Here is an 18,265-nt window from a genome sequence, read left to right on the forward strand (position 1 = left end):
CCTCAGCCTCCCAAAGTGATGGGATTACAGGCATGAGCCAGAACGCCCGGCGGTGCTCAATGAATTTTTGTTAAGTGACTTCATTTACTTGTAATCTTTATCCCTAATCCCAGACTCCTCCTCTTTGCATGTTCTGGTTCCTTTAATAGCATACTCTGCTGAGTGCATTGGTTCATTCCTGCAATCCCAGCACTTTGGGAGGCTGATGCAGGAGGATCCCTAGAGCCCAGGAGTTCAACACCAGCCTGGGCAACATAGGGAGACCCCACCCCTACAAATAATGAAAAACAAAATTAGCTGGGCATGGTGGTGCATGCCCGTGGTCCTAGCTACTGGGAAGGCTGAGGTAAGAGGATCCCTTTAGCCCAGAAGGTTGAGGCTGCAGTGAGCTGTGTTCGTGCCACTGCACTCCAGCCTGGGTGACAGAGTGAGAGTCTTTACCTCAGCTTTACCTGGAGGATCTTAGATGGGTCACATTACTTCTGGAAGCCTTCTTCCTCTTTCCAGAAGGCCTCATCAGATGCACTAATGACAGAATTTCTACAGTTCTTTTAATGAGTACCGGCCGGGCGCAGTGGCTCACAGCCTGTAATCCCAGCACTTTGGGAGGCCGAGGTGAGCTGATCACTTGAGGCCAGGAGTTCGAGAGCAGCCTGGCCAACATGGCGAAACCCCGTCTCTACTAAAAATACTGAAACAGCTGGGCGTGACAGCAGGCACCTGTAATCCCAGTTACTCGGGAGGCTGAGGCACAAGAATCAGCTTGAACCTGGGAGGTGGAAGTTGCAGTGAGCCGAGATCACACCACTGCACTCCACCCTGGGTGACAGAGTGAGACTCTGCCTACCAAAAAAGAGTAGCTTGGTGTGGTGACAATCAGAAATATGAAGGGAATAAAGTTTATGTATATTCTCCTTATTTTATTGTTGCCTGCTTATTCTACGCCAAACATTTGCTGGGGGTTGAAGACACAATGGTGAGCAAGACAGTGACTTCTTCAAAGATATCAAAGTTTAATGGAGGAGACAAAAAAGTAAGCAGGCAATTACAAAACAGGGATAAAGTGCTTTGATTGGGATAAACCCAGGAAAAACAGAAAAGGAACACCTGATCCAGTCTTATGGGATTGGGAAAGGTTTCCTAGAGCAAGTCAGGTATTTGACCTGAAGGCTGAGTAGGAGTTGGCCAGAAGAGTGGAGAGAGAGATGCAGCTTGGAGTGTGCAGGAAAGAGCAAGTGCAGGAAAAGAGGAGGGAACCAGAGCTGGGGAGAGCGGCAGAGGCCAGATCATGAATGACCTCCTCAGAAATCACACCAAAGGAGGTTCACTGTTTGCTGCTGGCAATGGGAAGCATGACAGGGCTTTACACAGAAGAGCGGCATGAAAGGATTTGCCTTTCAGAAAGATTGTTCTAGCAGAAAGGGAGAAAAGACTGACGGGAATCAAAATAGAAAAGAGGAGACTCATTAGGAGGTCGTTTCAGTAAGCGAGATATGGCCCAGTGATGGTCTGAATAATTGCTGCTAATAATTTGAGCCCCGTGATCTCATTTAATCTTTGCAACTCTATGAGGTAGACATAATTACTCCCATTTGCGGATGGGGAATCCAAGGAACAGAAAAGCTAAATAATTGCCCAAAGTCACATGGTAAGTGGTGGCAGTAGAGAGAACCAGGCAGAAGGATCTGAGAACTATTTAGGAGGTGGTATGGGCATGACTGGATACATAGTTACACAGTATTTGTTACTGATTTGGGGAGGGTGGCTAAAGGAACGGGAGTTAAGTATGATGTGCAAGTTTCTAGCTTGGATAAGTGGGCAATGACTGAGTTAGGAACAGGAGAAGCAGGCAGGGAGTAGGGGAAAATGTGGCAAGTTGAGTTCAGGGTTTGATTTCAAGATGTCTGGGTAATTTCCTATTATAATTTTTTAACTTAGTTTTGTTATTTTGTTCATGCTTTGATGGATAATTTCCAAGCAGAGCTGTCCAGAAAGCAGCTGCAGGGGCTGGTGTGAAACTCTGCCAGATTTTGGTGTCATCAGCCTCAATCTTTCCCAAAAGGAAAAAATAAAACAAAACCACTTTTAGAGAAGCTGAAAATGATATAAACTTTGGGAATGAAGCATTTAGAAAAACAGATCATGCAATGGGATTTCCCACGGACCCATTTTAGGTCATTACAGGGTAATTGTCTCCCATTAATTCAGCTGTTTTTCACTAACGATCTTAACAGTCTTTCAGTTCTTGAAGTCTCCTATTGATAAGCAGGGCCTACATCTGCTACTCTACTGCAGAGGTGGGTATCTAACAACTGCTTCCAAAGAGTCAGTTTCTCCCAGGGCTTGGGAACTCCTTTGGGAGCTACACTAACTTCTAAAACACCAGGGAACCACTTAACAAATTATCATTTCAGTGCACTCAGTGATATCCTAACGGCCTGGAAACACAGTCCTAACCTACCTCTAGGGTCTTAGAGAACAGTTCACACAGAAGGAAATTTGCTCAATAATAATAACAATGTCAAGATACTAACATATCAAATAGTCTTAGAGGGAGGCTCTTGAGCTACACTTCTCCAGGTGAATTAGCATCTTCCCTTAACTTTCCTTCCCAGCAATGAAAAATGCTCAACATGCAGTAAGAAGAGTTTTTTGTTTGTTTTTTGCTTTTGTTTTTAAGGTATGAGGTCTTGCTCTGCAGCCTCGAACTCAGCCTCAGCCTCCCAAGTAGTTGGGACTACAGGCGCTTGCTACCACGCCCGGCTAAGAGTTTACATGTATATATACTTTTGGCTGCTCTATAGATAGAGTAGGGTTCACCCACAGGCAGAGTGGCCTAGAGTAGCCTAAATAATATTCTGGGGCCAGGCCTGGTGGCTCACACCTGCAAGCCATCATTTTAGGAGGCTGACTCGGAGCACTTGAGCTGCAGAGTTTGAGACCAGCCTCGGCGAAATATGGAGACCCCATCTCTAAAAAAATAATAAAAAGAATTAGCTAGGTGTAGTGGCACACACCTGTGGTCCCAGCTACTCAGGAGGCTGAGGTGGGGAGGATCACTTGGGCCTGGGGAGGTCCAGGCTGCAATGAGCTGTGATCATGTCACTGCATTCCAGCCTGGGTGACAGAGCAAAACTCTGTCCCAAAAAAAAAAAAAAAAAAAAGTGTTGTGTTTTTTTTTTGATAAAGTTTCTCCTATTGCAAGTCTTGGCTACAAAATTAAAAACATTTCTTTGATATTTATATTCTCCCCCAATGTAAAACACTTCCATCCCTACCTTTGCCAAGGCTGGCTGTCCATTTAAAAAAAGATTTGAGAGAAAATTACTTGTAAGTAATTTGAAAATTGTGGCCACACCCTGGTAATACCTAATTACAGCCTTAGGCAGACTGTACAACTGTTACGAATAGAGAACCTTTGCTTCTAAGAAGTATCTGTTCTAGGAACCCAATCCTAGTGTGGTAGAAACTGTTTTAGTTGTATTTTTGTTTTGTTTTGTTCTTTTGAGATAGAGTCTCGCTCTGCTGCCTAGGCTGGAGTACAGTGGTGTGATCTCGGCTCACTGCAACCTCTGCCTCCCAGGTTCAAGCTACTCTCCTGCCTCAGCCTCCCGAGTAATGGGGATTACAGGCGCATGCCACCACGCCCAGCTAATTTTTGTATTTTTACTGGAGATGGGGTTTCACTATATTGGCCACACTGGTCTCGAAATACAGACCTTAGGTGATCCACCCGCATCAGCCTCCCAAAGTGCTGGGATTACAGGCGTGAGCCACCGCACCCAGACTTAGTATTCTTAATGAATACTCCAAAATATCTCCTTAAAGCAACAAGGCCTTCTCTCATTTTTCTTTTTGGATTTTTTTTCCTTCCCCAAAGCTAATGAGTCACCCATACCAAATATTCCTATGTGGCTTCTGTCACCAGCATAACCTTCGTAGAAAACTACTCAGGTTTTTTCATCTTCCCAAGATATGGCAATAACCAAAGGGCTCAAGATACTGTACTCCCAAATTCCTACAGAACATCTGTGTAATATATCTGTACATCTGTACGGAATGCATCAGTGTAAAGACAATCATGCCCAATTTTAATGACTCTGATGAAAAGCCATTAAATGAATCAGTGCTGGGTTACTAAAATAATTCTCAGGTTTGCTGACTTTAAAAATTATATTTTTAATTATAGAATATTGTTAGAATAATACAAACACTAGGATAACTGTGACCAATACCATAAGGAAAACTGTTCTACATATTGATTTGTTCATTAATTCTCCACAACCATAGAAAACAGGCACAAAGTGTTCACGGGATGTGCAGAGGCAGCCAGGGACTTGGGAGCAGAAGGCATGCAAAAAGCATTAGTGAAGGGAGTCTGATGCATGAGTTCTATACAAAGTTCAACACAGCAAACGGGCAACAATTGGCAGAAAGAGGAGACAGCTGGTGTGGCCCTTGTCCCTTAAGTTTCCCAGCTAGATTGTTCATGTATGGAGATAGCTGGGTGCTTAGAAGCCTTGTTTTAAGCCCTTCACCTCCAAGAAGCCAAAAGCAGCAGCAGGAACTGGTTGGGGTGGGGCAAGAACAGTAGGGAAGGAAAAGGGGGTGAAATACAGTTAGGTCATGGAAATGCGGTCATCTATGGCCACTCCCAAGCTGATACCCATAGTGGCTCACAGAAGCAACAGGAGAACTTTGACATTTATTAAAACCATCAGCAACATATATGAGAAAAGACATATTTGAGTTTAGTTACCAAGAACATGTGTCACCCGACAATTAAAATATGGATACCCACAGTCTGCTAGATTTTGTAAATAACAAAAAAACATGCTCCTTGCCTGAGTTTGTCCTTAAAAAGGAGTGGCAACATGAAGGAACCCCCCTGGAAGATGGGTTACTTTAAAGGTTGTGTTATTAACAAGTGATGTGGTCCCACACAGCTGTGGGTCACAATAACTCATTATAGTACCCACCCAGAGAGACCACTGGCTCCTTTAACACCAAGTCCTAAAAAGCTATGGCAAAACATTTTTAAAATGTTACAACATTCACAATAAAGAACAGTAGCAATAAAGCACAGTAGAAATAAACTGGGGGTACTCTCAAAAGAAAAGATATTCCTCACTCCAGTCCCATTTTCTGGGCACCAATTCCCTTCCACCCCAACATGCTTGGATAGCATCAACACTTGAGATATTTCTTAATTCCTACCTGGACTGAGATTAGGAAAACTGACACTACTGGGCTTAAATTGGGCGAACTGTTATTTTAACCTCTTATATCTGTAGGGTGGGAGGATGGAAATACATTCCTACCGAGGTTCGTTAATTCCTTCTGACTAAGCCAAAGAGTTCTTCATTACCATAGAAGATAATTCATTCTGAGAATAGGACAATCGACCTATTTGTCTGGTCATTATCTTCCACAATTGACAAACACATACAAACAAGTGCTTAGCTCTGTACAAAGACAGACCTTACAGGAGAGTGCACACTAAAGCACTAGTGTTTAAATTATTTTCCATAATGAAAAAAGGACATTTCTCACATTGGAGTTATGTCTGTACTTCTGTCACATGACTCACATCACCCAAGAACATGCTAAGTCTCTGTAAATTCAGTTTCTATTAGAAAAACCACAGGAATACACATTACTGTACATACACATGCCCTGATGCAAGCTAAGATAAACACTGGGATGTGGCCCTTATCAAATCTTAGAGTTAGCAGGATAGGAAGAGTTGATCTTAAAGATTAGAAGGGAAAGAACACAGAAACGACCTACATTCCTTGGGAAGGGACTCTGTGGTTCCTTCCCTGAAGGACTCAATTCCACTTGCTCCTTACACTTAACTGTCACTGATGGTCCTATCTTTTCTTGAAGATATTTTCTATACAATATTCCCTATAGTGATCCCCAAAGAAAATTCATAAATCTGATTAATGGCAGTAATAACTGTGGGCATCTTCTGCTAAAGTCACCATCATTGATGGGTCCTTGGTCCCCAAACCTGTGTCTCATTTTTCCTTTCCAACCGTATCTTCAGTTAGCCTTCACAAAGATGCAAGCTTTAAAGGAGCTAATTAGAAACAATGAGAAGGAGAAAAGTTACAATCATTGCCTTCATCGTGCAAAATCTTGCCCTCAGGAAGATGGAAAAGATACAAATGCATGAGCAACTCAAGGAAAAAGCCCTTTGGAAGGGAAGATGTGTGTGCCCAACTACTATGGTGTGTGAATAGGTGTGGCAATTTAGGCAGAGTCTCTAGTTGCCTTTTTCCAAAGCAGCCATTACCACCCTATTACAGTCCCACGTTTCACTTAGCATAGTTCCTTGGGCCAAGGATGGGAGAAAATAACATTGAAAGATTTACTCCATTTCCAGGCCTAAGCATTCACCAGCATTTGTCCCCTGGTCTTCAGATTTCCAGTTACTTGTGGGGCTGCTTTTAATGAAGTAACCCATTGAGTGAATAAAAATCACCATTTTGGAGGAGATAACATTCCCAAAGCTGAGGGTCAGAATTTCAAATGGCTTGTCATCTCTGATGGTTTAAATCGTGGCCCACAACTAGGAGAGTATGATAAAAGCAGCTCAGTCTTGAGGGCGTTCATTGATATCAAATAAAATTGTATCTTCAAATGAATCATTTCTCAGCCATCATAATTACAGCTTAGTCCGTATGAACTCTCTTATGTTTAATAAGAGCTGAGCTCCTGCTGAAACTCTTCTCACATTCGGTACATTCATAAGGTTTCTCTCCCGTGTGAACTCTTTGATGTGTGATGAGGTTGGAGCTCTGGGTGAAACCTTTCCCACACTGCACACACTCGTAGGGCTTCTCCCCTGTGTGGGTTCTCTGATGTTTAATTAGATCTGACCTTTCACCAAAGCTTCGCCAACACTCATTACACTCATAAGGCTTCTCTCCAGTGTGAATTTTCTGGTGTGTGATGAGATGAGAGCTCCGGCTGAAGCTTTTCCCACAAGCATTGCATTCATATGGCTTCTCTCCAGTGTGAGTTCTCTGGTGCTGAACCAAGTGTGAGATGCGGCTGAAATTTTCCCCACATTCGTTACAGTGGTATGGCTTCTCTCCCGTGTGGGCTCTGCGATGACGCACAAGGTCGGAGTTCTGACTGAAATTCTTCCCACACTCATCACACTTGTAGGGCCTCTCCCCTGTGTGGACTCGATAGTGTTTGATGAGATCAGATCTCTCACTGAAGCCTCGGCCACATTCGTTACATTCATAAGGTTTCTCACCCGTGTGGGTCCTCTGGTGCTGAGCTAGGTGAGAGCTCCGGCTGAAGCTTTTCCCACACTCCTCACACTCATAGGGTTTCTCACCACTGTGGGTCCTTTGGTGTTGGATTAGGTGAGAGAGACGGCAGAAACTTTTTCCACACTCATTACATTTGTGAGGCTTCTCTCCAGTGTGGATTGTCTGATGCTGAATCAGGTGAGAACTTCTTCCAAAACTTTTCCCACACTCGTTACAGTCATAAGGCCTCTCCCCAGTATGTGTTCTTTGATGCTGAATAAGGTGTGAGCTGCGACTGAAGCCTTTTCCACATTCATAACATTTATAGGGTCTGTCTCCAGTGTGGGTCTTCTGATGTCGATTAAGGTCTGAGATCTGACTGAAGGCCTTTCCACAATGAGAACATATATGATAGCGGATGCCTGTGTGGACTTCTTTGTGGACAAGTAGATCAGTGACTGGTTGGAGAGGATAGCTTACCCACTCTTCTGCTGTTAAATCTCCCCATTGTCTTTCTGACCTATCTCCGCTTTCAAAGCCCTCTTCACTTTCAGGATTTTCCTCAGCATTCTCAGCAGGTCTTTCAGATGTAGTCCCAAATTGTACATCTTCACTAATCTCTTGCTTGGGATTTACCTCGTTCTCACTCCTGATCTCAAAATCTGTAATAAAAAGTAAACAATAAGACTAGTAAGTACAAAAATTACCTATTGTGTGCCAGGCACTATACTAAATTTTTTTTTTTTTTAGACAGAGTCTCACTGTGTTGCCTTGGCTGGAGTGCAGTGGTGTGATCTTGGCTCACTGCAACCTCTGCCTCCTGGGTTCAAGCAATTCTCCTGTCTCAGCCTCCTGAGTAGCTGGGACTACAGGTGCACGCCACCATGCCCGGCTAATTTTTTTATTTTTAGTAGACACAGGGTTTCACTATATTGGTCAGGCTGGTATTGAACTTCTGAGCCACTGTGGCCAGCCTAAATTATTTATATTCTTCGTCACATATATTCTTTATCACAGCTATTCTGAGAGTCAGGAATTGTGATTATTTCTACTTCATTAATGAGAAATCCAAGACCCAGACAAGTGAATTGACTTGCTCAAGGCCATAGTAAATGGTAGAGCCAGTATTCAAACTCAGGTCTGTCAAAATTCACATTCTGTATCGCTGTAATTAATGATTCATTAAGAAAACTATACAGGCCAGGTGCCGTGGCTCACGCATGTAATCCTAACACTTTAGGAGGCCAAGTCAGGAGGAACACTTAAGGCCAGGAGTTCAAGACCAGCCTGGGCAATATAGGGAGAACCCATCTCTACAAAAAAATTTAAAAAATTAGGTGGATGTGGTGGCATGCAACTGTAGTCCCAGCTACTCAGGAGGCTGAGGTAAGAGGATCACTTGAGCCCAGGAGTTCAAGGCTGCAATAAGCTGTGATTGTGCCACCGCACACCAATATGGGTGACAGAACGAGACCCTGTCTCTTAAAAAAAAAACTATATATATTCGTGTTTTGAAAGAACACTGGAAGCAGAAAATATGAGACTCTAAATTAGAATATCTAAAAGGCAAGATTCTAGGTATTTTGTGAGTATGTATTTTTTAACTTGCCAAGCCTTCATCATTAGTAGCATCATAAAATATTTACTAAGAAGCCACTATGTTTTTGTTTGTTTGTTTGTTTTGTTTTGTTTTTTGAGATGGAATTTCACTCTTGTTGCCCAGGCCGGAGTGCAATGGCGCAATCTCCGCTCACTGTAACCTCTGCCTCCTGGGTTCAAGCGATTCTCCTGCCTCATCTTTCCGAGTAGCTGGGATTACAGGTGCCCGCCACCACATCCAGCTATTTTCTTGTATTTTTAGTAGAGACAGGTTTTACCATGTTGGCCAGGCGGGTCTTGAACTCCTGATCTCAGGTGATCTGCCCGCCTCAGCCTCCCAAACTGCTAGGATTACAGGCGTGAGCCACCGTGCCTGGCCAGAACCAACTATGTTAATATGGAGAAAAATGAATCTTTACCTATGTCATAGTTGACAGAAAAGTGACTGACAAATGTCACTTCCTACTTTTCAGTGACCTTTTAATGAAAATAGGAGTGGGAAAGTTGAAGAAGGCAAAAAAGATGTCTGGCTGAGAACATTCTTGGCATTGTCTAAGTATATTTCACATGCAGTCTTCAAATGAAAATCAAAATACACAACCACTGTCTACAAGGAGTTTTATACCAGACACTGCATTCTCCAAATTGGGTTTCTTAGTACACTCTTCAGAAAGAAAGTATGTATTTTGGGAGAAAAGGGTTCATGGATAAACTGGGTTGGTAAATGGTACATACAATATCATTTCCTTCAAAATTCACAATGCCTAATAACACATTAAAGGTTCTAAGGAATCCTGAGGTAAAAAGGCCTTATAAGGCCAGATGCAGTAGCTCAGGCCTCTAATCCCAGCACTTTGGGAGGCTGATGCAGGAGGATCACTTGAGCCTAGGAGTTTGAGACCAGCCTGTGCAACATAGGGAGGTCTCACTTCTATTAAAAATAAAAAGAGGCAGGCCGGGCGCGGTGGCTCACGTCTATAATCCCAGCACTTTGGGAGGCCGAGGTGGGCAGATCACGAGGTCAGGAGATCGAGACCATCCTGGCTAACACGGTGAAACCCCATCTCTAAAAAAAAAAAACGCAAAAACTAGCCGAGTGTGGTGGCGGGCACCTGTAGTCCCAGCTACTCAGGAGGCTAAGGCAGGAGAATGGCGTGAACCTGGGAGGCAGAGCTTGCAGTGAGCTGAGATCGCGCCACTGCACTCCAGCCTGGGCAACAGAGCAAGACTCCATCTCACAAAAAAATAAATAAATAATAAAAAAATAAAAAGAAGCTGAGCATGGTGCCTGACACCTGTATTCCTAGCACTTTGGGAGGCCGAGGTGGGCGGATCACTTGAGGTCAGGAGTTCAAGACCAGCCTGACCAACATGGTGAAACCCCGTCTCCACTAAAAATACAAAAATTAGCTGAGCGTGGTGGCATGCACCTGTAATCACAGCTAGTCGGGAGGCTGAGGCAGGAGAATTGCTTGAACTCAGGAGGCAGAGGTTGCAGTGAGCCAAGATTGGGCCACTGCACTCCAGTCTGGGCAACAGACTGAGACTCTGTTTCAAAAAAATTAATTAATTAATTAATTAATTTAAAATTTTTTAAAAAATAAAAAGAATTAGCCGGGCAAGGTGGTACGCATCTGTGATCCCAGCTACTCAGGAAGCTGAGATGGGAGGATGACCTGGGCCTGGGAAGTCAAGGCTGCAATGAGTTGTGATCGTGCCACTGCACTCCAGCCTGGGCAACAGAACAAGATCCTGTCTCAAAAAAAAAAAAAAAAAAGCCTTGTAATCATTTTTAAACCCATTCCCATTCCCAAACTTATTTGGGCAAGAAACCAGTTTTTTGGCGCTTTCATCCTTCTAACAAGTGCTTTTGGGGCTAAACTGTAGAATTGTAAATTCACATTTTTTAAAGATTGTCATTTTTTGCTTTTGTTGGATTCAGTGGAATATTTGGGTTACAGACTGCAATAGATCTGGATAGATAACTATTTATGGTTACTTTTATAAAGAAAGGATTCAAGAAACTAGGGACATCAGAGAAAGCTCAAGTTAAAAAGGAAAGCCCTCAGAGTTGCCTTTTGTTCTGAAAAAGGCTATGGGAATAAAGATTTCAAAAACAGGATTAATCCTAATGAATGGCAAATGACCTAGTGACCCATACACGCTTGCTAATGTCTGTCAAGTCTTGACAGGAGGCAAAGTGAGGCAAAGTGAGTCAAAAGACCGTTCAGCTCAAGAATATACTCTTTATTCTAGTTACACCCAGACCAAAGTACAGCAAAGAGAGAAGACAGGCTTGCAGACCATGAAAAAAAAATCAGCTGCCCTCTCTAATAGAATTTGTGATCTATTTCAGCATTCTTCTGGAACAGCATTTGACACACTACAAATCTATCATCATCAACACTGAAACATCTCTAGATGAGAATCTACTCAGCTAAGGAACTTGAGGCAAAGCTAGGGCTCTGAAGCCAAAACAAACACAAAAAGGTGGCTTTCGCCCTCCCATGAACCTGGGTTAGAATCCCCTCATCTTTTAGCACCCTAGAGTAAAAGCACTAGTTACGGGGCATTTATATTCTGGCAAGCACTATTATGCCAGACCTGTTTGGTCAGTGATCTGTACAAACAGGCTGGAGATTGGAAAATGACTCAGGGCACAAGAAATCTGAACGTCTAAGACGTGCAGAAGCAGTTTTTTTCTTTTTAGACAATATGACCTGGATGTTCCCATATTCAAAGATCTGCCTGAGGACTCAAGTCAAGCCAATATCCAATTAAGTGCTTTAAAAAATCAAACCACTAGGCTGTGTTGAAAGAACTAAGTCATTTTGACACGATCTCAAAAACGTGGAGGCAAAGAAAGGTAGAATCCTTACTTACCTAGTGAGACAACATTTCCATAATTCTCCTGCATAACATCCCGGTAAAGGTCCCTCTGTGCAGCGTCCAGAGGTCTCCATTCTTCCCGGGTGAGATACATGGCCATATCTTCAAACGTCACAGGTGCCTGAAATCACACGATACTTCCCTACTATTCTGTATTTAGGACTTCTTGAAATTAGAAACATGATTAGAAATATTCAGGAGGAAAAATATATTAAATGTGACCTATAGAGTCCAAATAAGAAATAAACAAGCAAAAAAGAGATGTGGTAAAGAAGGCAGCAATTTATGAGCTGATTGCTCTGGTCCCATGGCCAGCTATCCCTGCCCCACTCAGGAACTTTATCCTCTGGCTGTGACTTTCTCAGGACATATCTGGCACTTGCATCGCTCCATACCTTTACTCATAATGTTCCTCTTTTCCTGGAATATTCTTCTCACACTAGAGAAATTCTACTACTCTTTAAGGTCCCGCTGCAGTACTAACTGTTCTTCAATGCCCCCTACCCCTCTGCACGGCTCCACTCCCCTTGGATGCCCCAGATAGACTTAATCACGCCGACTTCTTGGGAGTGATTCCCACACTACAGCACTTTGTTCCTACAGCAAGTAGAGCACTTACTACGTTGTGCCACGCTTAAGTGGATGCGCCTTTCTCCCTACAGATTGTGAACTGTGAGCTGTGAGCTAGAAGGTAGCGCCCATCTCGTCCATCTTTTATCTCCCCAGTATTTAAAGGCATACAGCAGGTGTTCGATATATGTTTGTTTGTGACTATACTGGCCTGGTACTAGGCCCCTGGAGGCAGAATATCGAAGCCAGCGAATTACTAATCCCAGGGAATTTCCCACAGGGACTTGCAGAGCAGAGAAACGCCGGACGAGGTGGGTAAGCAGAGACAAGGTCTGAGAAGCCACCTCCGGCTTACCTGGGACCCAGCCATGAGCAGGGTGGCTGCCATCTCGAGCACAAGGGTTCGCCTCCAGGGAGAGAGAGCAGGAAAAGCAGCTAGCAGACAGCGCTGAAGGAGGCGAAAAGCAGGGCGTGAGGCACGGAAAACAGGCCCTGCCCACTCCCCAGGGCTGGAGTTCTGGCCCCAAGGCGGGCAGGGAGGGCCCTGGACCAGGGCCGGGTCACTCTCCTCCCTGACCCTCGAGCGCGACCCGCCCTCTGCGTCTCCGCCACAGCGGGGTGGAGGCAATGCCGGAATCTACTAGGACAGCCCCCTGGCTGGGTCCCTCCCGCGCCGGGGGTTAGACCGCTGCTGTCTCAGGGAGGAGGTGCTCAGCTCAGCCCAGGGAACGCCTCCGCTCTGCCATCTCGAGGCCGGGTCCTTTCCGGCAGCTGCCTCAGCCAATCAGCGAGCGAAGTTCGTGAACCACTCTGCCAATCAGAGGCGGAACACTATGCCCGCCTCCCACAGCCTGGCCAAGAGCCTCTAGTGCGCCTGTGCCTGCCCCCATGGCCTGCCGGGAGTTGGAGTTCCACTCCCGCGTACAAAAGCTAGCCAGAGGCCAAAAGCCAAGGAGGGAAAAGAACAAAAGGGTGAAAAAGTAAGCGCGTCCTCCCAGTCAGGGCGGAGTATTCTCGCTTTTTTCTTATGGAGACTGCAGCACGATTAAGCTAGAGGCTGCCCTGCTTCGCCTCACGTCCCTAGAAGCTTCTCTTGAGTCGGGCCTTATTATCTGCGAAGTCAGGCCAATTTAGGCGCTGGCCTGTGTTGAGCTGAGCTAGAATGAGCCCCTGCTTGACAGCACAGGCTGGAGAGGGAAGCGGCAGCCGCCCACTCCCCAGGGGAGACTCGGAGGCCGCGCTGGAACTTTGAGCCCCGCCCACGCACTACATCTCCCAACAGCGCCTGCGGCGGCGCGGCTCTGTACGCAATACAACTCCCGAGAGGCCCCGCGCCGCCCCGCGCCGGGGCGACTCGGGAGTGCGGTCGGCAGTAGAGCCTGGCGGTGTCTTGGCTTCGGCGCTTTAACCCTGTAGGGGCGTGCGACTGCGTCCTTCTCAAGGGGGCGCCCCTCGAGCGGCGGGCTGAGTGGCGTCCAGCGGCGGGGAGGCGAAAACCCTGGGGGACTCAGAAGCGGGTGGCGGTGTAGGGCGTGTAAGGAGGAGATAGCCAGGCCCCTGCGGGGGGGGCGGGCCCTCCTTAGCGTCCCAGAGGGCTTGTCTGCTACAGGGGCTCCCAGCGGCCTCCCGCACCGAAGGGACCCTGGGCGTCTGAGGCCCTGATCCGGGCGGGCCTTCAGGATGTTAGCAGTCCCTGTCCGGTTGAAGGTAGGAAGCCGAAAACCCGAGTGGGGGACGAACAGACTTACCTCCTGTCCCGCAAAAGATCCACTAGATCGTCGTCTCCAAAACCTGAGAGACCGCGAACGGGTTCCAGAGCCGCAGCGTTCTCTCAGACCTGGCGTTCAGGAAGATTCTAGAGAGCACGGGCAGGTCCCGGAGGTCTCAGACCCGCAGGTAGATCTCGAATTCGTAGACTTGCAGGCGAAGCCCAGATATCGTAGGCTGATCCTAAAGACTCAGATTCCCGAGGCCTCAGACTCGCAGGCAGCTCAGAAACCACAGGCTCATAGGCAGATCCCTGAGACCACAGAGGCTGGCCGAGAAACCACCAGCAACTAAGCTGCATTCAGCTGGAGTTCCTCGGAACGGGAGGACTCGCAGCTCTCCCTTTCCCCAGCCAGGATGAGGGAATTAGACAATGGAAGTCGAGCACTGGGGAAAGCAGGCATTCTGCGTGGGGAAGAGCTCCCAGCTCGCTGTAGCCTTGGAGAGGGAAGTGATGGAAAAAGAATATAGCAGCTTATTAGGGACTCCCACCCTCTTCAAGTTATAAATATCCCCAGAACCTTGGCTACGTGCCCGGAAGCCTGTTGTCTCTAACTGTACAGGAGACTTCTCTGCCTGGGCTGGGAAAGGGGCCTTTCTTTTGTTTTGCAGATAGATCCACCCACTGAGGAACTTGAAAATTTTTTTCAAACATAACTCCAGGCCTTGCTTTTATTAGTGAGTGTCCTGTTCCCAGTGCCCGGTTATTTATGATTAAATTACTGAAGTGTCTAAAAAGAACAGAAGGACCCACCCCAGCCATAATGCAGACTTTCCCATTCCTTCTCTTTCCACCCGCAACTGTGGGGCTAAGAATTCTTAAGATGTCACAGAATTATACCATCCTACCTCATCTAAAGTCGATCCGAGGCTGGTCCGATGGTAGTGGGTTACCAGAACTTAATAACATTAATAACTCTAAAGTTAGTATACAACCCCCCACTGCTAAATTTGGCTATAAAAATAAAATTGATCTGAGCACCATATAAAATGGAATCCTGGAGGGTCCCCTAGAGGCAGTATCCCCAGTGGAAAGAGCGTGGGCCTCAAGGTCAGACAAGCCTGGTTTGGAATCCAGGCTGTGTATCCTTTGGAAAGTCATTGAATCCAGGCCCATTTCCTTTTCTCTAAAATGAGGGTCATCATACCTAAGGATGTTGTGAGGCGTGAGTGAGATGATTAAAGCGTTCCAGAGAGTGCGCTCTTGGATGATAGCCGTTACTTTTTATTAACCCTGGCTTTGGTGGTAAGGGAAACTTCCAGAAATGCTTGTGGGTATATTGGATAGCTCAGAAAATCTGGGAAATCAAAGTGGCTCAATAGCTGTGAGGAACTGTGGGTGACTTTATCCTCACATCGTGTTTCTTCCAGAAATTCAGACGCAACAGAGGTTAGGCCAGTTTGGTGGGTTCCAGTGAGCGGTGTGTTGAGCCTAGTAGAGCATAGGTACTTGGGGTTGCCAAAACCCCAGCAAGTTGAGGCTTCACGCTCAGGGAAACTTCTGGGTCAGAGGTTAATAACCACGCTCCTTGGAGCAAGGAGGAGGGGAGCCTTTCTGACTAGCTGAAGTAATTGCAGGTTTCTAACTGGGCCTAAGGTGAGCTGAGGGCTTGAGCCCCTCAGCCCAGCGGGGGTCCCTTTTCATCCCTTCTCTGACAGATTGCTTTGTAAACTTTCTTAGGCCTTCCCCCCACCCCTTTGCCCCAGTGCTTTAAGCCCTTCTTTGTCTTCTTGCTGTTTCTTTTATTCCTCAGGCCTGCGGGGCGGGGGCGGGGTGGCGCCCAGGACGACTCCCCGGGCTCAGCTTGGCTGCCTGCCTCCTTCTGTAAGTGCTTTTTTTTTCTTCACCTGGGACCCTCTAGAGGTTGGAAAGAGAAGAGAGGCTGGGAGCGGATGGAAAGCATGACTGCATCTGGAGCCCCTGGGGGGAGTGGGGAAGAGGGAGTGGAAGGACAGTGGCTGAGGGGCTTCCTGTTGCAGCCTTCAGCTGGACTCAGGGTTGGGGTCACTGGAGGAGGAGGTGGCTTCCTGCCCCATTGTTCTGGACTGCAGTGTTTCTTGGGAATACTTACTGTATGTGGATTTTCAGTAACCAACTTGGAAAGCTGTATTTGTTCCCATGATTCAGCAAACAATGAGTACCTACTGTGTGTAGAAGCAGCAGGACAGCCTGTCATCACTGGGAAAGAGGCCAGAAGAGCCGTTTGGCCAGGGTCTCCAATTTAGGCTTTCAACATTATCTCTAAAGAAGGTTATACATTATGTCGGCTCCACTGGCTGATGGGATCAAAGACCCTCCTTGTATATCCTTAAACCTGTACTCTATTACCAGGCCACTGTGCCTGTGGAGCACTGTAAGTTCCTACCTTTTAATAAATTTTATAATTATCTTGTGAGCAGCACAATTGTCATAGTTTTTTGTATCAGAAACATTAATTTGTTAAACATTTTAAAACATGCCTTGATGTGTGTAATCCTGTTTTGTCATCTCTTCATTTTCAAACAGATGGGGCACCTCAAAAAATCAAAATGACCTGGGCTTCTCGTGAGCCCTGCTAGGAGGGGTGATAAAGGCTCATCACTGCACAAGGAGTTGGGGACGTGGGGGACACACTGACTTGCAAACAGTCATTGCAGTCCAAGTGCTATAATAAGGGGTGAGCTCGTCTGCACCCAGGAGTGGGTGGACTCCTAGCTGGCGGGGAAGGGGGGAGGCTTCACGGAGGAGGTGACGTCTGAGCTGGTAAGACTGTAGGAGTTTGGAGGTGGAGAAGGTGGGAGGGAAAGCATTCCAGTCTTCAAGAACAGCATGTGCGAAGGCACGGAGGCGTGAAAGGCCAGAGCATGTTCCAGGCTGGTCAGGATTGGTTATGGCTAGAGGGAATAGTGTGGGGGTGGAGCAGCAGGGGGAGGAAGCAGAGCACGGAGAGTCTCCTATGTCCCCTTGCCTGTCTCCCTGTTTGTCTCTGCCTTTGGCTGTGAATCGCAATGCTAATGATGAGGTAAAGATGCGGGGCTGCCCAGGGACTGGCCTGGGGTGAGGCAGCAGATTGACTCTGCAGAGGAGGGGGAAGTGGAGATGATTGGGAAGCTCTTATGACCTCATGCATTTCAGCTGGTTTTCTCCAAAAAGAATCAATATTTTCTAAAAATGTAGACAATTGCATTAAAAATGCAATACAAACTTATTTAGTATTATTTGGCCTACTTAAAGATATCAAACAGACCCATACTCACTGAACCCTATTCTGTAGCAGCTGCTGAGCTGGGAAATAGGACACCACCCCTCACGACTGCAGGGCTGCTGCGTGGATTAAATGTGAGAATGGTACAGAGGATGGCCTTGGCATACCATGGCCATCACTATTATGGGGGGAGGAAAAACACATCACAGATGTTCTGTGAGGTGAACATATTGCAAAGTGGCTCAGAGCATGACCTGGGCTCTGGGTTCAAATCCAGGTTCTTTCTCCAAAAACAAATGACTTGGCTCACGCCTGTAATCCTAGCACTTTGGGAGGCTGAGGTGGGCGGATCATGAAGTCAGGAGTTTGAGACAAGCCTGATCAACATGGTGAAAGCCGTATCTACTAAAAATACAAAAATTAGCTTGGTATGGTGGCATGGGCCTGTAATCCCAGCTACTCAGGAGGCTGATGCAGGAGAATTGCTTGAACCTGGGAGGCGGAGGTTGCAGTGAGCCAAGATTGTGCCACGCAGTCCAGCCTGGACGACAGAGTGAGATTCTGTCTCAAAAAAAAAAAAAAAAAATTACTCTCAGAACCTTAGTTTTCTCAGTCTGCAAAGACTATAATAATACAAATTCATAGAAAGTAGAATAGTGCTTTCCAGGGCTTGAGGGGAGGAGGAAATGAGTTATTTAAGGAGTATAAAGGTTCAGTTTGCAAGATGAAGAGTTCTAGAGACTGGTTGTACAACAGTATGAATGTACTTAACCTTACTGAACTATATACTTAAACATTTTTAAGATGGGCTGGGCGCGGTGGCTTATGCCTGTAATCCGAGCACTTTGGGGGGCTGAGGCGGGTGGGTCACATGAAGCCAGGAGTTCCAGACCAGCCTGGCCAAGGTGTTGAAACCCCGTCTCTACTAAAAATATGAAAGTTAGCTAGGTCTGGTGGTATGCACCTGTAATCTCAGCTGCTTAG

At 46.2% G+C, this 18,265-nt stretch overlaps 1 protein-coding gene and 1 long non-coding RNA gene across 5 annotated transcripts, besides 10 other annotated features; one reads left to right on the plus strand and one right to left on the minus strand.

The window, feature by feature from the left end:
* Positions 1,491–1,720: an enhancer blocking element, noted in NCBI's record as "230 bp MIR1 fragment used in the reporter constructs". NCBI's record gives its function as "blocks activation of a CMV promoter by a CMV enhancer when located between the enhancer and promoter in transfected HEK293 cells {active_cell/tissue: HEK293}" and the evidence as "EXISTENCE:reporter gene assay evidence [ECO:0000049][PMID:26216945]".
* Positions 1,546–1,679: a mobile genetic element.
* Positions 2,055–2,890: an enhancer, noted in NCBI's record as "OCT4-NANOG hESC enhancer chr1:23683836-23684671 (GRCh37/hg19 assembly coordinates)". NCBI's record gives its function as "activates a minimal SCP1, AML or CMV promoter by ChIP-STARR-seq in naive and primed H9 embryonic stem cells {active_cell/tissue: H9 hESC(naive and primed)}" and the evidence as "EXISTENCE:reporter gene assay evidence [ECO:0000049][PMID:30033119]".
* Positions 4,160–14,548, minus strand: ZNF436 (zinc finger protein 436). Of its 3 annotated transcripts, NM_001077195.2 has the most exons (4): positions 14,078–14,548; positions 12,685–12,777; positions 11,754–11,880; positions 4,160–7,933 (listed from the first exon to the last, which is right to left on the minus strand). In NM_001077195.2, the coding sequence occupies exons 2-4, from the start codon at positions 12,715–12,717 to the stop codon at positions 6,681–6,683; spliced, it is 1,413 nt and encodes a 470-aa protein (NP_001070663.1). In that variant the 5' UTR covers positions 12,718–12,777; positions 14,078–14,548; the 3' UTR covers positions 4,160–6,680. The 3 variants fall into 3 exon arrangements, with proteins under 3 accessions (NP_001070663.1, NP_001357581.1, NP_085137.1); NM_001370652.1 differs by lacking the exon at positions 12,685–12,777; NM_030634.3 differs by lacking the exon at positions 14,078–14,548 and having other exon boundaries at positions 12,685–13,047.
* Positions 12,248–12,542: a silencer, noted in NCBI's record as "tiled region #11811; K562 Repressive DNase matched - State 1:Tss". NCBI's record gives its function as "represses a minimal TATA promoter and a strong SV40 promoter by Sharpr-MPRA in K562 cells {active_cell/tissue: K562}" and the evidence as "EXISTENCE:reporter gene assay evidence [ECO:0000049][PMID:27701403]".
* Positions 12,248–12,687: a biological region, named in NCBI's record as "Sharpr-MPRA regulatory region 11811".
* Positions 12,488–12,687: an enhancer, noted in NCBI's record as "active region_358". NCBI's record gives its function as "activates an Ori minimal core promoter by ATAC-STARR-seq in GM12878 lymphoblastoid cells {active_cell/tissue: GM12878}" and the evidence as "EXISTENCE:reporter gene assay evidence [ECO:0000049][PMID:35858748]".
* Positions 13,008–13,267: an enhancer, noted in NCBI's record as "active region_359". NCBI's record gives its function as "activates an Ori minimal core promoter by ATAC-STARR-seq in GM12878 lymphoblastoid cells {active_cell/tissue: GM12878}" and the evidence as "EXISTENCE:reporter gene assay evidence [ECO:0000049][PMID:35858748]".
* On the plus strand, positions 13,683–16,551 carry ZNF436-AS1 (ZNF436 antisense RNA 1). Of its 2 annotated transcripts, NR_033691.1 has the most exons (3): positions 13,930–14,225; positions 15,851–15,921; positions 16,225–16,551. It is a non-coding gene; the product is annotated as a ZNF436 antisense RNA 1 (long non-coding RNA). The 2 variants fall into 2 exon arrangements; NR_033690.1 differs by having other exon boundaries at positions 13,683–16,551.
* Positions 13,838–13,907: an enhancer, noted in NCBI's record as "active region_360". NCBI's record gives its function as "activates an Ori minimal core promoter by ATAC-STARR-seq in GM12878 lymphoblastoid cells {active_cell/tissue: GM12878}" and the evidence as "EXISTENCE:reporter gene assay evidence [ECO:0000049][PMID:35858748]".
* Positions 13,998–14,067: an enhancer, noted in NCBI's record as "active region_361". NCBI's record gives its function as "activates an Ori minimal core promoter by ATAC-STARR-seq in GM12878 lymphoblastoid cells {active_cell/tissue: GM12878}" and the evidence as "EXISTENCE:reporter gene assay evidence [ECO:0000049][PMID:35858748]".
* Positions 15,429–16,014: an enhancer, noted in NCBI's record as "NANOG hESC enhancer chr1:23697210-23697795 (GRCh37/hg19 assembly coordinates)". NCBI's record gives its function as "activates a minimal SCP1, AML or CMV promoter by ChIP-STARR-seq in naive H9 embryonic stem cells {active_cell/tissue: H9 hESC(naive)}" and the evidence as "EXISTENCE:reporter gene assay evidence [ECO:0000049][PMID:30033119]".
* Positions 16,552–18,265: the final 1,714 nt, after the last annotated feature.

Source organism: Homo sapiens, chromosome 1 (assembly GCF_000001405.40).
Source record: "Homo sapiens chromosome 1, GRCh38.p14 Primary Assembly".
Taxonomy (NCBI): Eukaryota; Metazoa; Chordata; class Mammalia; order Primates; family Hominidae; genus Homo; species Homo sapiens.

Coding starts and splice junctions, on each gene's coding strand:
- ZNF436 (NM_001077195.2), bottom strand. CDS start 12,717: ATGGCAGCCACCCTGCTCATGGCTGGGTCCCAG. Junction 11,881..12,684: donor TGCTCATGGCTGGGTCCCAG/GTAAGCCGGAGG, acceptor GTGTGATTTCAG/GCACCTGTGACGTTTGAAGA. Junction 7,934..11,753: donor TGGAAATGTTGTCTCACTAG/GTAAGTAAGGAT, acceptor TTTTTATTACAG/ATTTTGAGATCAGGAGTGAG.